This window comes from Homo sapiens, chromosome 4, assembly GCF_000001405.40.
Source record: "Homo sapiens chromosome 4, GRCh38.p14 Primary Assembly".
NCBI classification, from domain to species: Eukaryota; Metazoa; Chordata; class Mammalia; order Primates; family Hominidae; genus Homo; species Homo sapiens.
Window position 1 is genome coordinate 11,134,209 of NC_000004.12, and position 15,637 is coordinate 11,149,845.

A 15,637-nucleotide genomic window follows, 5' to 3' on the forward strand; every position below is an offset into this window, starting at 1 on the left:
GGTGAGTGTGTGTATGTGAGTGCATCCTGTGATGGAATGCTGTCCTGTCCAGGGTTGGTTTCCACCTGACACCCAGGGCTGCTGTGATAGGCCCTGTCTACCTGCAACCCTGAGCTGGAATAAGCAGATTGGAAAATGAATGAACACAAAATATTGTACGATAAAAATGCGTAAAGAATACAATAGTCACAGAAATGCATAATAATAAACAATGCACTTTGAAAGTGCTCAGCCAGGCCAGCCTGTTGGTTATTGTCTTTGAAGTACGTGGTGATAGCAGATGTTTCTTACAAATTTTCTTTGCAAACAAGCAATACCTTGATTTAACCTAGCATCACTGTGACTAACATGATTCACTGATTCACCACAAACTGGGCAAATGCATTTATTTGCTTTTGTTAACTTTTCTTAACTCATTGATAGCTCACACTTATTTTAATGTTTTATATTGTGTTTTGGGTCTTTCTTTAGAAGTTTGGTGATGTTTGGGTACCAGAAATATACAGTAAAAACTTAACTCTTGTTTGTATCAATTAGCCCATGGTAAAATTGGTTTTGTTACATGTCATTTTGCCTAAAGTTGCAGTTTGGAAGAACTTTTCAATGACCTTAAGTGAGCACTTACCATACATATTTCTTGAGAACTGCTATCTTAGGGTATTTCCAGGCTGTTCCATTCATTTTGCTCCCTTTACTCTAAGCTATACTTCTAAGTAATAGTATCCTGCTTTTATAGACAGACACACTCAAAAGATTATTTACCTCACCCAAGCCAACCCAGCAAGCTCATGGTCTGCAAGACTCTAAGTAAGCCTAGAGCTCTCACCCCTTCCCTCCCCTCCTCTCCCCCTCCTCCATTCCCCTCCTCTCCCCTCCCTTCCCTTTCCCTCCCCTCCCCTCCCTCCCCTCCCCTCCACTGTTCTGATGTGAAAAGGCTGTGAGCTGCAAAGTTGCACTTGAAACCACACAGGCTCTAAGATTACTCCTGGGATTGCTCCTTTTCGAGAAATACAAAATCCTTTGAAGACGGCCCCAAGAAGACCATTGAGGTGTCTCATGATCTTTTCTCTCTCGCCCCTAAGACACCACGATATATATATGTGTGTGTGTGTGTGTGTGTGTGTGTGTGTGTGTGTGTGTGTGTGTATGTGTGTATATATATGTGTATATATGTATGTGTGTATATATATGTGTATATATACATATATATATATTTTTAGTTAAATGTAGTTTATTCTGAGTAAGCCACAGCACATGAGCATTCTGAGGGGTTGATTCACAGGCCATCCTGATCGGTCAGTGGGGATGGCTTCCTCAACATTTACAATTTAGCTGACTATTACCATTGGAACTAGTCCCATAGTCTACACGGAAAACCCATCTGTTGCATTATCTTCCCCAGGAGTGAAAAGGAAGACGGCCGGCATCCTCTGGTCTTTAGTAATTTTCTTTTGTAGTGAGAAGTCACTCTGAACTCTGCGAACACTAACTCTGGAACAATAAATGCTGCTTGTGAAATAAAATGACATACCTTCTGCTATTAACAGAGTACAATAAAAAGCATCATTTTATCCTACTATGTTGGAAATTTATTAAACAAGACCTACTGTAGTGAACAGAGCATAATCAACCTTACCTCACTTCTTAGGAACAATGTCTCTTTTTTTTTCTTTTTTGAGTGGTTCAAAAGACTCTTAAATATTTAAAGTAATGTATAATCATCTTTAAAATCGACTAGGGACTCTCAGGACACAATAAACAAAATAAAGTGCTGGGAATATTCATCATTTCAAGTATCTACATTATGCAATGTATTTCACAATGTGCTATTACTTGTCTATTTTTCATTTTTGCTAGGAAAAGGTAGGTTAGCCTTAAGCATAATTTGGCCTTAGAGTTTATATTTTAATATGAAGAATTAACATTTTATTTTTACTGTGATTTAGCATCATGATTATCTTATTGAATCTACCCTTTTAAACTAATTGCACTTTCTTCCGAGATTGTGGCTTGGCCCTTTAGTTTGCACAGAATCCATTTCTTAGGCACATGGCTCTACAAAATAGTAGAAAATGTAACATCCCCACAACAGATTATTTGAATTTGTACAAAAAGTGACATGGAAAGAATAGCAAGGACCACTGGATTGTTTGTGCTGCCAGACTTTTAGATCTGGAAGTAACTTTCAAGGTATTTAGTTTGAAGCTCTTATTTGTTGACGGGATCATAGGCTCTGATTAAGTAAGAGTCTTTGGGTCACATGGCTTGCCAAGGGGCATGTACCTCATCCAAGAGTTGGATTCTTCCAGATGATCTATCTGGAATCCAAACTTGCTCTTCTGGTAGGTAACAAACCTCTAGAACTCTGGTCTCTCCCTTGCACAGAATTTATTTCATCAGTCAGTTCCTTCCTCTGGTCACTAACCCTGAGTGTTGGGGTTCTCACTTAAGATGATCTGATCCATCATATCCCAAAACCATTCATGGTGCAAGTTCTTGCCTCTGGAGAAGCACAGAGAAATTTCTCTCCATGTATCAGTGGACATTGTTCCCACATTTAAAGAGATATCTCATGTCCCACGTGTTCATAGGAACTACTTTTTCACCACTTTTGTGATTCTTCTCAGCCAGAATTGACTCAAACACTCCTGGCTTCTGACCCCAACCGAACACCATCTGTTAAGTGTCACATGGCTGTCCGGAGAGTGGGTGTGGATGGGAATAGCACCTGGAGGCCTTGGTCTTGCCTTCTTCTTTAGACTTGCTTCAATCAAAAGAGATATGATCCAATATATTCTCAGCCAGGCCATGAAATTAGAAAAAGAATACAAATAAATTATACCCATTTAGGTTGAAGGCTGTGCTTCTTTGGTGCTGACTGTTAGAGGGGAGGCAGGGAGTAGTATTGGTTGGATTTAATACTGTAAACCCTGGTGTTCCAAAATACCTATTGCATGCCCTCCAACCAACCTCATTTCTATTTGCAGTCATCATGGTGCCAGAGAGTTTTATCCTGCATCTTAAGAACTCCTCACAGTGCTTCTTATCACCTAACTAACCCATTAATTAGGGGTGCAACAGCAAGATTTTTAAGACCAGAAGAGCATAAACGTATAAGAATGGGCTCTGGATAACTGTCTTGGTGGAGGATGGAATTAAAAACTACATTTATGGAGTATATAAGTTAACTTTTTTGGTCTTCACAAAAAAAAGTACATTTGAAAGATAAATAGGCTTCAAGAACTTAAGGCACTGAAGATAAAATATGATAGGATTGTACTTACAGAACGGTTTTCTGATGCCAGATATTATGTTTTAATATCCAACAAACAGAGCCTTAGGTCTTGGGAAGAGAATGTGGTCGGTGGCAGGTAGACATCCAAGAAAAGCTCATGAAAAAGCAAAGAACGGCGGAAAAAGGCACTAGAACAATATCTAAGGCAGGTGCTAAGGCAATTTTCCCTAGCCTTTCAGTAGAACATCAAAAATCTTGTGTAAGTTGCTCAACTTATCTGTAGCTTAGAATCTTTATATAAAAAAAAAATAGGGGCAAAAATTGTCATGCCCAGTGAAATAATCTTAGTAAAGTATGTAGCATAGTGACAAATACAAAGTAGGCAATAGGCAAATGTTAGCTTTTGTTATTTACCAGCACTTTACTCACTGGGGTATGAAATGATACTTTCTATTTCCTTCTCTTCATTCTTTTTTCTTACTTAGAAACTCCCTTCTGCTAATTTCTGAATATCTATGTGCCATGCACTATATTAAATACTGGAAAGGTACGTTTCAAATAGTCAATTTGGTGGTAAGAAAATGTTCCATTTAGTTTAGGAATGTCAAGGAAGATTTTGAAGAAACAAACTCTTGAATTGGGTTTGGGAGAAAGCATAGGAGTTTCCCATATAGGAAAGGCATTTACAACAAAGCAAGAATTTTTGTCAAAGTCATAGACTCTTAGAGCAATATGTCAGGTTTACGTGGATCTGAGAGCAATTAAAGCAGGGCACAGAGCACAAGTGGAGGGTGAGTGGAGGGTGGCTGCAGGAGGTGAAGCAGGACTCCAGGTTGTCACATGCCTGGGGAATGTGGTAGGATGATAAGTTGACACCTTAACAAAGGTTTCCCACCCCACTCCAACAGGCCTGTGCATTACACTCCTGGACTTCCATGCCTCAGGTAAAGTAGTTGTTTTAGTGGAAACAAACACACATGTACACACAAGTTAATGTTCAATTTCTGCTTTTCCAAATAATCTTTTGAAACTCATGGCATAAATAGTCTTGGAAGTCAAGGTTTTATTTCAAAATAGCATAAATATTGAAAGAATCAGAACATGAAAGGTACTGTGACCAATAGTTTGCCAAGAACACATGATGAAAGAGTTACTTTTCACCCCTTGAAGTCCATAAAATTCCCATAGACAGAACGGGAGAAACTATATAGAGAAATAACATTTTAGACATGGGTGTTGTCCCACAAATAAGATCTAGCCTCCAATTTCTCCCCCTACTTTTTGGTCTATGAGAGGGGCACAGTGAAAGAACTCAAAAATATAAACTATGGAGACATATTTGAGAATCTAATGACCAAACGCCGTGTGGTTCATTATCACAACCAACCAATAGGTGGTGGGAGCTGGCCGGGAACATGGCAAAATTTTCTTGCAGAGCATGGCAGTGGTATGCATAGGCAGTAATGTGGAGTGGCATGTGGAAAAAAAGAAGGTCTGAGCTGGGCTCTTGAATTTTCCCAGCCTTGGAGTGTCAGAGGAGAGCATGCTCAAGTGTTCCATATTCATGGAAAGGAACAGAAGTCAGGAAAAGAGCAAGTTGGCTGAGTGCCCTAAGGATCAAGAAGGTAGATATACAAAGACCTCTGTGGGCCAATAACTGGGGACCAGGAGAGACATAGACAAGGTCAGTAGATGCCAGAGTGGATAGATTACAATGAGCAAGGACCACATGCTCTCACAGTCATATGATTGGCATGGCTCAGTGATCTGAAGCTTAAAGAGAACCAGTCCAAAGACATAAAGACAGACGGGAATCCCCAACTTGTCTGAGAACAACTAAAATTCTTTTGTTTATTCTGAATGAATTAAAGTTAAGTTCTCCTCACTGAGGAGGAGGAAAAGAGGTCTCAAATTAGAAGTTAGATGTGTTTATTAAAATAATTTAACTATATTTTGTATGATCTCCTCTCTTACTATTTAGGAGTAACATAAGATAAACATGTATCACAATGGTAAGAAAGACAACTTTGAAAAATACATATGGTAGAGGTGTTTGGATGGATGGTTGGATGGATGGATGGATGAATGGATGGCTGGGTGGATGGTGGATGGTGAGTAGATGAATGGATGGATAGACAGATGGATAGACGAATGAGTGAATGAAGAATGAGTGGGTAGATAGATGATGGATGGATGAGTGGATGAATGGATGGATGAAGCATCAGAAACTTTACATTGGTTTTAAAAGAGCTATTTTTTCCTGTACTTTTTCTGAGCAACTGTATACACCCATGATATGTACAGAAAATTCCTGCCTGAAACTCTGTTGTGTGCATAGAATCAAGCCTTGCCATCTCTCTTGACAGAGTTTGTCTGAGCTTCTGACAGCAGTAGATTTATTCTGTGTAGATTTGCATCTTCCTCCCTTGGCATTTTGCCTTTTCTTGTAGTCTTACTCTGCACATTCATCTGGTGTTGGCTAATGGATGCTAAGGCCATTTCAGAACACAAAATCTGCAGTGTCTGTATAACCTATCATGTGTAACTGGGCACACCCCACCGTAAAAACATTAAGCAGCCTACATTATGCTCATATCAGGGACAATTATTCCTCAGACTGCTTTATAGTAAAAAATCCATTAGATTAGCAATAGCAGCCCTTATACAGATAAATAAAATGAGGATCAGGAGATAAAAACCTTGGAACTGTTGCATAAACTGCACCAAAATGGAAAAACAGGGATTTGTAACATCCTTGCCAGATGTTAGCTGTAAGGTATGTTTCTGTAAGAAGTGGATTTAGACACAGACTAGTGCAGAGACCATCTTCCAGGCAAGATACTGCCTGACTCCTGGGCAAACTCCTTTTGTGGATGCCTCCAGCCTTTTTTCTTGAATTTTTTCTCTTACTCATTTTCTACTGAACTTGTCTTCTTACTTGCATATTCACTCTGGCCCTAACCTAGTTTTTATTATCAGTATCTCGCTTCTTCTCCTTCTCCTTCTCCTTCTTCTCCTTCTCCTTCCCCTTCTCCTTCTCCTTCCCCTTCCCCTCCTCCTTCTCCTCCTCCTCCTTATTCTTCTTCTCTTCTTCTTCCTCTTCCTCTTCCTCTCCTCCTTCTCCTTCTCCTCCTCCTCCTCCTCCTTCTTCTTCTTCTTCTTCTCTTCTTCTTCTTCTTCTCCTTCTTCTTCTTCTTTTCTTCTTCTTCTCTTCTTCTTCTTCTTCTTCTTCTTCTTCTTCTTCTTCTTCTTCTTCTTCTTCTTCTTCTTTCTGTCTTTTCTCTTTACTGAATTGTATTCACTATTTCTCTCACCATTTTCCTTGGAACCACTCTAGGTGGGATTTGTCTGAGGTGTTGATTCAGTACAAATTCTCTCTTATCAAACAAACAAAAATAACAATAAGGGGACAGAACTATGGCTGGTTAAGTGGGGGTCCCCCAGGATAGAGTCATCCAAGAAAACTGGTATGGAATGCTGTGAGCATGGGAAGAAGAGCTTCACTCGGAATTGGGAAAAGCTAAACAAAATTGAGGCTCACAAAAGACAGAGCAGGAAGACAAGCCACTGGTTGGCTAACACTTTACTGCCTCACTTGGCTCTTGTTCTACCTACATAAGCAGTGAGCTCACCTGTCATATTCAGGGACGTCACATAGAATCTGTGGCACAATAGCCATATCCACGTAGCTAAAGCATAGGGAAGCTTTTCAAAGTAGGAGATTGCAAATATGGAAAAGAAAACCCATTTTGTAGTGATCTAATATTTAAAATTATATTATGATTAGGGGATTTGTTGTCCTATAGAGTAGTCCTTCTTAAAGTATTCATGGGGGAGTACCAGTATTGATTTAGTTCCCCCCCATTTGTTTTTACAAAATTTTACAATAAAAATGAGGAGAATCCTATGTCCTCTCACCCATACTTGACTATCCCAGCATTATCCAGTTGCTCTAAATGTTTCTAAGAACCTTGTTTTAATTTCTATATTTCTTTCCTTGTTGAACAGAAGTACATACTGAAGGACTAATACAGACCCACAGACCCCGGCTGCTCTCATTTGCTCCCACACCCTCACCTCCTCACCTGCTGAGGTTGCCTGCCTTCCTACACCCACCATGGACACAGCTTCCACCCTTCTTTGCCAATGAAGGAGCTCCAGCAAGTGGGGCTGGGAAGAGTCTTCTTATCATACAGATGAGAATACAGAAAGTGAGAAAGATTGTCATCCGGCCAACCAGTAACAGATACAGAACTCCTTTGGCATTCATCTAAGCCGGCTGTGCATGTTATAGGGATTCAATATTGGGTGATGCTTTATGAAGGAAGAATGCTTTAGGGAACATCCTTTGTCTAATGCTGCTTCCTATCCCCTCTTCCTGAACTTCACAATATTTATTAAAGCAGCAAATGAAAGATTTCAGTGTGTCCTGCAGAAGAGACACTTGTCTGAATTTTGTTTCCCAGACATGTTTTACCAGGAAACACTTAATGTTATTCAATCAGTAAGAAAGACCCTGCTACCCTATCTGACTGGTTGACAAGTGGGATGAAAAATGGATCTTAAGAGCTGTGAGGATTTACTAATTAGTGCAAGAGGTCATTTTGAAGAAGTCATCTTGCTTTTCACTTGTCCCCTTTATGATCCCATCATGTTAATGGGCAAAAATGCTTGATAGTTAGATATCTCTTCAAAAGTTCTGGAAAACTCCAAATCCCAGGCTGAGGTGGGCAGATCAAGAGGTCAGGAGATCGAGACCCTCCTGGCTAACACAGTGAAACCGCGTCTCTACTAAAAATACAAAAAAATTAGCTGGGTGTGGTGGCGGGTGCCTGTAGTCCCATATACTTTGGAGGCTGAGGCAGGAGGGTGGTGTGAACCCGGGAGGTGGAGCTTGCACTGAGCCGAGATTGGGCCACTGCACTCCAGCCTGGGCGACAGAGCGAGACTCTGTCTTAAAAAAAAAAAAAAAAGAAAAAGAAAACTCCAAATCCCAATACCTATAATGACTGTGAGTCTGATAATCACCTACTAGTCATTGGATATAAAGGCCATGAGATTTTGCTGCAACTACACACCAGAAGTTTTCTCTGTATTCACAGTTTTCCCCAGAGTTAAATGTGTGCCTGTTCAGTGCATGAACATTGTGTGTGTACAGATTATGATCAGAATGACAAATGTGCCCACTGCACACACGATCCCAAAAAATCTTTGCAAAGCTAAAATAAGGCACTTGCTTGTTGCCTGCAGGTCAACAGGATGTTACTTTCATTTACCAGCCTGGGAAGAGTGTGAAAAAAGTGCGAGAGGCTAAAGAGGAAAAGGGGAAACAAATTGTGTCAAGGGAGGTTACTAGTTCAAATTAAATTGAAAGTGTGTTGCTATCTTGCAAGTGTGGGGAGTACACTGCTCAGTTCTCCCTGGGACAGAGTGAGACCATCCCTTTAAAAAAAAATTAAAGGATAGAAATCCATCCCAAGTCATGTGGTGTATTCCCTGGTCAGCTCCCAGCTGATGACCAAGCACGGCCACGTACTAAAGTTACTATGTTCGAATGTGTCTCCCAAACTTAATATGTTGGAAACTTAATTCCTAACTCAGTAGTATGGAGAGATGAGACCTTTCGGAGGTTATTAGGTCATGTGGGCTCTGCTTTTATGAATGGGTTATCCTGTTTCTGCAGGAGTGGGTTAGTTATTGCAGGAGGGGATTCCTAATAAAAAGAGGAGTTCGGCCGCCTTTCCTCTCGCTTACTCATGTGATGCCCTCCACCATGGTATGATGGTGCAGGAAGGCCTCCATGAGATGCCAGCCTCTCAGTCATGGATATTCCAGCCTTCAGAATCATGAGCCAAATAAGTGTATGTTCATTATAAATTATGCTTACTCTGATATTCTCTTATAATAACGCCTAACAGACTAAGCCACGAGTCAAACCATTCCTGCTCAACATGAGACCCCCTCTAGGCACTCTTCGCTCTAGGACTTTCCATCAGCCTGAATGAGCTGCTTTCAGTGCCGGACAGAAGTCCTCCCTCCTTGCTTCTCTCCATACGTAGGTGCCATACCTGCACCCCTGACTGAAGGCTCTCTGTGCATAATCTTGCTCAATCTTCCCATTATCCTTAGGAGACATTTTCCCAGAGAAATTTCTTTTTTTCTTTCTTCTTCTTCTTCTTCTTATTATTATACTTTAAGTTTTAGGGTACATGTGCACATTGTGCAGGTTAGTTACATATGTATACATGTGCCATGCTGGTGTGCTGCACCCACCAACTCGTCATCTAGCATTAGGTATATCACCCAATGCTATCCCTCCCCCCTCCCCCCACCCCACAACAGTCCCCAGAGTGTGATGTTCCCCTTCCTGTGTCCATGTGTTCTCATTGTTCAATTCCCACCTACGAGTGAGAATATGAGGTGTTTGGTTTTTTCTTCTTGTGATAGTTTGCTGAGAATGATGATTTCCAATTTCATCCATGTCCCTACAAAGGACATGAACTCATCATTTTTTATGACTGCATAGTATTCCATGGTGTATATGTGCCACATTTTCTTAATCCAGTCTATCATTGTTGGACATTTGGGTTGGTTCCAAGTCTTTGCTATTGTGAATAATGTTGCAATAAACATATGTGTGCATGTGTCTTTATAGCAGCATGATTTATAGTCCTTTGGGTATATACCCAGTAATGGGATGGCTGGGTCAAATGGTATTTCCAGTTCTAGATCCCTGAGGAATCGCCACACTGACTTCCACAATGGTTGAACTAGTTTACAGTCCCACCAACAGTGTAAAAGTGTTCCTATTTCTCCACATCCTCTCCAGCACCTGTTGTTTCCTGACTTTTTAATGATTGCCATTTTAACTGGTGTGAGATGGTATCTCATTGTGGTTTTGATTTGCATTTCTCTGATGGCCAGTGATGATGAGCATTTTTTCATGTGTTTTTTGGATGCATAAATGTCTTCTTTTGAGAAGTGTCTGTTCATGTCCTTCGCCCACTTTTTGATGGGGTTGTTTGTTTTTTTCTTGTAAATTTGTTTGAGTTCATTGTAGATTCTGGATATTAGCCCTTTGTCAGATGAGTAGGTTGTGAAAATTTTCTCCCATTGTGTAGGTTGCCTGTTCACTCTGGTGGTAGTTTCTTTTGCTGTGCAGAAGCTCTTTAGTTTAATTAGATCCCATTTGTCAATTTTGTCTTTTGTTGCCATTGCTTTTGGTGTTTTAGACATGAAGTCCTTGACCATGCCTATGTCCTGAATGGTAATGCCTAGGTTTTCTTCTAGGGTTTTTATGGTTTTAGGTCTAACGTTTAAGTCTTTAATCCATCTTGAATTGATTTTTGTATAAGGTGTAAGGAAGGGATCCAGTTTCAGCTTTCTCCATATGGCTAGCCAGTTTTCCCAGCACCATTTATTAAATAGGGAATCCTTACCCCATTGCTTGTTTTTCTCAGGTTTGTCAAAGATCAGATAGTTGTAGATATGCGGCGTTATTTCTGAGGGCTCTGTTCTGTTCCATTGATCTATATCTCTGTTTTGGTACCAGTACCATGCTGTTTTGGTTACTGTAGCCTTGTAGTATAGTTTGAAGTCAGGTAGTGTGATGCCTCCAGCTTTGTACTTTTGGCTTAGGATTGACTTGGTGATGAGGGCTCTTTTTTGGTTCCATATGAACTTTAAAGCAGTTTTTTCCAATTCTGTGAAGAAAGGCATTGGTAGCTTGATGGGGATGGCATTGAATCTGTAAATTACCTTGGGCAGTATGGCCATTTTCACGATATTGATTCTTCCTACCCATGAGCATGGAATGTTCTTCCATTTGTTTGTATCCTCTTTTATTTCCTTGAGCAGTGGTTTGTAGTTCTCCTTGAAGAGGTCCTTCACATCCCTTGTAAGTTGGATTCCTAGGTATTTTATTCTCTTTGAAGCAATTGTGAATGGGAGTTCACTCATGATTTGGCTCTCTGTTTGTCTGTTGTTGGTGTATAAGAATGCTTGTGATTTTTGTACGTTGATTTTGTATCCTGAGACTTTGCTGAAGTTGCTTATCAGCTTAAAAAGATTTTGGGCTGAGACGATGGGGTTTTCTAGATATACAATCACGTCGTCTGCAAACAGGGACAATTTGACTTCCTCTTTTCCTAATCGAATACCCTTTATTTCCTTCTCCTGCCTAATTGCCTTGGCCAGAACTTCCAACACTATGTTGAATAGCAGTGGTGAGAGAGGGCATCCCTGTGTTGTGCCAGTTTTCAAAGGGAATGCTTCCAGTTTTTGCCCATTCAGTATGATATTGGCTGTGGGTTTGTCATAGATAGCTTTTATTATTTTGAAATACGTCCCATCAATACCTAATTTATTGAGAGTTTTTAGCATGAAGGGTTGTTGAATTTTGTCAAAGGCTTTTTCTGCATCTATTGAGATAATCATGTGGTTTTTGTCTTTGGCTCTGTTTATATGCTGGATTACATTTATTGATTTGCATATATTGAACCAGCCTTGCATCCCAGGGATGAAGTCCACTTGATCATGGTGGATAAGCTTTTTGATGTGCTGCTTTTTGTGTGCTTTTTGCCAGTATTTTATTGAGGATTTTTGCATCAATGTTCATCAAGGATATTGGTCTAAAATTCTCTTTTTTGGTTGTGTCTCTGCCTGGCTTTGGTATCAGAATGATGCTGGCCTCATAAAATGAGTTAGGGAGGATTCCCTCTTTTTCTATTGATTGGAATGGTTTCAGAAGGAATGGTACCAGTTCCTCCTTGTACCTCTGGTAGAATTCGGCTGTGAATCCATCTGGTCCTGGACTCTTTTTGGTTGGTAAGCTATTGATTATTGCCACAATTTCAGATCCTGTTATTGGTCTATTCAGAGATTCAGTTTCTTCCTGGTTTAGTCTTGGGAGAGTGTATGTGTCCAGGAATTTATCCATTTCTTCTAGATTTTCTAGTTTATTTGCGTAGAGGTGTTTGTAGTATTCTCTGATGGTAGTTTGTATTTCTGTGGGATTGGTGGTGATATCCCCTTTATCATTTTTTATTGCATCTATTTGATTCTTCTCTCTTTTTTTCTTTATTAGTCTTGCTGGCGGTCTATCAATTTTGTTGATCCTTTCAAAAAACCAGCTCCTGGATTCATTAATTTTTTGAAGGGTTTTTTCTCTCTCTACTTCCTTCAGTTCTGCTCTGATTTTGGTTATTTCTTGCCTTCTGCTAGCTTTTGAATGTGTTTGCTCTTGCTTTTCTAGTTCTTTTAATTGTGATGTTAGGGTGTCAATTTTGGATCTTTCCTGCTTTCTCTTGTGGGCATTTAGTGCTATAAATTTCCCTCTACACACTGCTTTGAATGCGTCCCAGAGATTCTGGTATGTTGTGTCTTTGTTCTCGTTGGTTTCAAAGAACATCTTTATTTCTGTCTTCATTTTGTTATGTACCCAGTAGTTATTCAGGAGCAGGTTGTTCAGTTTCCATGTAGTTGAGCGGTTTTGAGTGAGATTCTTAATCCTGAGTTCTAGTTTGATTGCACTGTGGTCTGAGAGATAGTTTGTTATAATTTCTGCTCTTTTACATTTGCTGAGGAGAGCTTTACTTCCCAGTATGTGGTCAATTTTGGAATAAGTGTGGTGTGGTGCTGAAAAAAATGTATATTCTGTTGATTTGGAGTGGAGAGTTCTGTAGATGTCTATTAGGTCCACTTGGTGCAGAGCTGAGTTCAATTCCTGGGTATCCTTGTTGACTTTCTGTCTCGTTAATCTGTCTAATGTTGACAGTGGGGTGTTAAAGTCTCCCATTATTAATGTGTGGGAGTCTAAGTCTCTTTGTAGGTCACTCAGGACTTGCTTTATGAATCTTGGTGCTCCTGTATTGGGTGCATATATATTTGGGATAGTTACCTCTTCTTGTTGAATTGATCCCTTTACCATTATGTAATGGCCTTCTTTGTCTCTTTTGATCTTTGTTGGTTTAAAGTCTGTTTTATCAGAGACTAGGATTGCAACCCCTGCCTTTTTTTGTTTTCCATTTGCTTGGTAGATCTTCCTCCATCCTTTTATTTTGAGCCTATGTGTGTCTCTGCACGTGAGATGGGTTTCCTCAGTACAACACACTTATGGGTCTTGACTCTTTATCCAATTTGCCAGTCTGTGTCTTTTAATTGGAGCATTTAGTCCATTTACATTTAAAGTTAATATTGTTATGTGTGAATTTGATCCTGTCATTATGATGTTAGCTGGTGATTTTGCTTGTTAGTTGATGCAGTTTCTTCCTAGTCTCGATGGTCTTTACATTTTGGCATGATTTTGCAGCGGCTGGTACTGGTTGTTCCTTTCCATGTTTAGCGCTTCCTTCAGGAGCTCTTTTAGGGCAGGCCTCGTGGTGACAAAATCTCTCAGCATTTGCTTGTCTGTAAAGGATTTTATTTCTCCTTCGCTTATGAAGCTTAGTTTGGCTGGATATGAAATTCTAGGTTGAAAATTCTTTTCTTTAAGAGTGTTGAATATTGGCCCCCACTCTCTTCTGGCTTGTAGGGTTTCTGCCGAGAGATCTGCTGTTAGTCTGATGGGCTTCCCTTTGAGGGTAACCCGACCTTTCTCTCTGGCTGCCCTTAACATTTTTTCCTTCATTTCAACTTTGGTGAATCTGACAATTATGTGTCTTGGAGTTGCTCTTCTCGAGGAGTATCTTTGTGGTGTTCTCTGTATTTCCTGAATCTGAATGTTGGCCTGCCTTGCTAGATTGGGGAAGTTCTCCTGGATAATATCCTGCAGAGTGTTTTCCAACTTGGTTCCATTCTCCCCATCACTTTCAGGTACACCAATCAGACGTAGATTTGGTCTTTTCACATAGTCCCATATTTCTTGGAGGCTTTGCTCATTTCTTTTTATTCTTTTTTCTCTAAACTTCCCTTCTCGCTTCATTTCATTCATTTCATCTTCCATTGCTGATACCCTTTCTTCCAGTTGATCACATCGGCTCCTGAGGCTTCTGCATTCTTCACATAGTTCTCGAGCCTTGGTTTTCAGCTCCATCAGCTCCTTTAAGCACTCCTCTGTAATGGTTATTCTAGTTATACATTCTTCTAAATTTTTTTCAAAGTTTTCAACTTCTTTGCCTTTGGTTTGAATGTCCTCCCGTAGCTCAGAGTAATTTGATCGTCTGAAGCCTTCTTCTCTCAGCTCGTCAAAGTCATTCTCCATCCAGCTTTGTTCCGTTGCTGGTGAGGAACTGCGTTCCTTTGGAGGAGGAGAAGCACTCTGCTTTTTAGAGTTTCCAGTTTTTCTGTTCTGTTTTTTCCCCATCTTTATGGTTTTATCTACTTTTGGTCTTCGATGATGGTGATGTACAGATGGGTTTTTGGTGTGGATGTCCTTTCTGTTTGTTAGTTTTCCTTCTAACAGGCAGGACCCTCAGCTGCAGGTCTGTTGGAATACCCTGCAGTGTGAGGTGTCAGTGTGCCCCTGCTCAGGGGTGCATCCCAGTTAGGCTGCTCGGGGGTCAGGGGTCAGGGACCCACTTGAGGAGGCAGTATGCCCGTTCTCAGATCTCCAGCTGCGTGCTGGGAGAACCACTGCTCTCTTCAAAGCTGTCAGACAGGGACATTTAAGTCTGCAGAGGTTACTGCTGTCTTTTTGTTTGTCTGTGCCCTGCCCCCAGAGGTGGAGCCTACAGAGGCAGGCAGGCCTCCTTGAGCTGTGGTGGGCTCCACCCAGTTCGAGCTTCCAGGCTGCTTTGTTTACCTAATCAAGCCTGGGCAATGGTGGGCGCCCCTCCCCCAGCCTCGCTGCCGCCTTGCAGTTTGATCTCAGACTGCTGTGCTAGCAATCAGTGAGACTCCGTGGGCGTAGGACCCTCCGAGCCAGGTGCCGGATATCATCTCGTGGTGCGCCGTTTTTTAAGCCCGTCAGAAAAGCACAGTATTCGGGTGGGAGTGACCCGATTTTCCAGGTGCCGTCCGCCACCCCTTTCTTTGACTCGGAAAGGTAACTCCCTGACCCCTTGTGCTTCCCAGGTGAGGCAATGCCTCGCCCTGCTTCGGCTGTCGCACGGTGCGCGCACCCACTGACCTGCGCCCACTGTCTGGCACTCCCTAGTGAGATGAACCGGGTACCTCAGATGGAAATGCAGAAATCACCCGTCTTCTGTGTTGCTCACGCTGGGAGCTGTAGACGGGAGCTATTCCTATTCGGCCATCTTGGCTCCTCCCGAGAAATTTCTTATCTATCTAATTCTGTCTTGGCATCTTGGTGTTGCTTCTTGGAGGACCTGCAGTGTTGATACTGAAAGTGGTTTGAGAAGGGAGGCAGTGAGATGGAGATTGGGGGCTGCATTACTCACTCACTGCTTAGCCAGCAAAGAGGCCTCTGTTCTGAGGGGTATGTGCATCGGGGAAACTCCCCAG

General features: G+C 41.2%; 1 annotated feature.

Moving 5' to 3' along the window:
• Positions 14,654 to 15,321: an enhancer, noted in NCBI's record as "OCT4-NANOG-H3K27ac-H3K4me1 hESC enhancer chr4:11150486-11151153 (GRCh37/hg19 assembly coordinates)". NCBI's record gives its function as "activates a minimal SCP1, AML or CMV promoter by ChIP-STARR-seq in primed H9 embryonic stem cells {active_cell/tissue: H9 hESC(primed)}" and the evidence as "EXISTENCE:reporter gene assay evidence [ECO:0000049][PMID:30033119]".